Consider the following 884-nt stretch of genomic DNA (forward strand, 5'->3'; position numbering starts at 1 on the left):
CTATGCGTGAATAATATATTTACAAACTTTATCTTTATCATAGGGTTATTTATATTTTAAATGATTTTAATAGATGATTAAATACAGGTACTAATATTTATAAAGACTATATTTTGCTATTTGATTTATTGGTTTTATGTAATTATTAATGTATACATATTACAATGTTTTTTTATCCAAGCTTATGGGGTTTTTTAGCTTTTGTTTTTAAAAAGATTGTATTAGTTATCTATGCCTGCATAACAAGTCATCTCAAAATTTAATATCTTATTAACAGTAACATTTATTATCTAACATTTTCCATGTTTAAGGACACGGATGTCTTTTCCCAGGCCCTGTGACTCTGGATTTCATGAAGCGACAATTAAGGTGTCAGCCAGGACTGCAGTCATCTGAAAGCTCAACTGGGAGATTATCTTCCGAGATCATTCAAAGACTTAGCGGTTCCTCACATGTTGTTGGACACAGGACTCAGTTCCTCACAGGCTGGAGTCTTCTCCACAGGAGAGCTCATGAATTGTCATCTGTTGTCCACCAGAGGGGGCAAGTAAGAGAGCAAGCGAGGGTGAGAGGTAGCCAGTAATACGGAAGTCACAGGTCTTTGGTAACTAATGATATCCCATTAATTTGTTATATTCTGTTGCTTACAAGCAAGTTACAAAATATAGCACACACTCAAGGGATAGATAGATATAGATGTAGAAATATATATAAAAAAATTATAAGCTTGGAGATACACACACACATACACACTCACACATTATACTAGAAAACAAAAATCACTAGGAGCTATGTTAGAGTTAGAGGCTACCTCTTGTACCTTTCACAATCTTATAAGAATTTTGTGCGTGTGTGTGTCTGTGTGTGTCTGTATGTGTGTATAA

The 884-nt window shown here is 34.2% G+C and overlaps 1 annotated feature.

Moving 5' to 3' along the window:
* Positions 349-643: an enhancer, noted in NCBI's record as "tiled region #5628; HepG2 Activating non-DNase unmatched - State 12:CtcfO, and K562 Activating DNase matched - State 13:Ctcf". NCBI's record gives its function as "activates a minimal TATA promoter and a strong SV40 promoter by Sharpr-MPRA in HepG2 and K562 cells {active_cell/tissue: HepG2 | K562}" and the evidence as "EXISTENCE:reporter gene assay evidence [ECO:0000049][PMID:27701403]".

The sequence above is a fragment of the Homo sapiens genome, chromosome 1 (assembly GCF_000001405.40).
Source record: "Homo sapiens chromosome 1, GRCh38.p14 Primary Assembly".
Taxonomy (NCBI): Eukaryota; Metazoa; Chordata; class Mammalia; order Primates; family Hominidae; genus Homo; species Homo sapiens.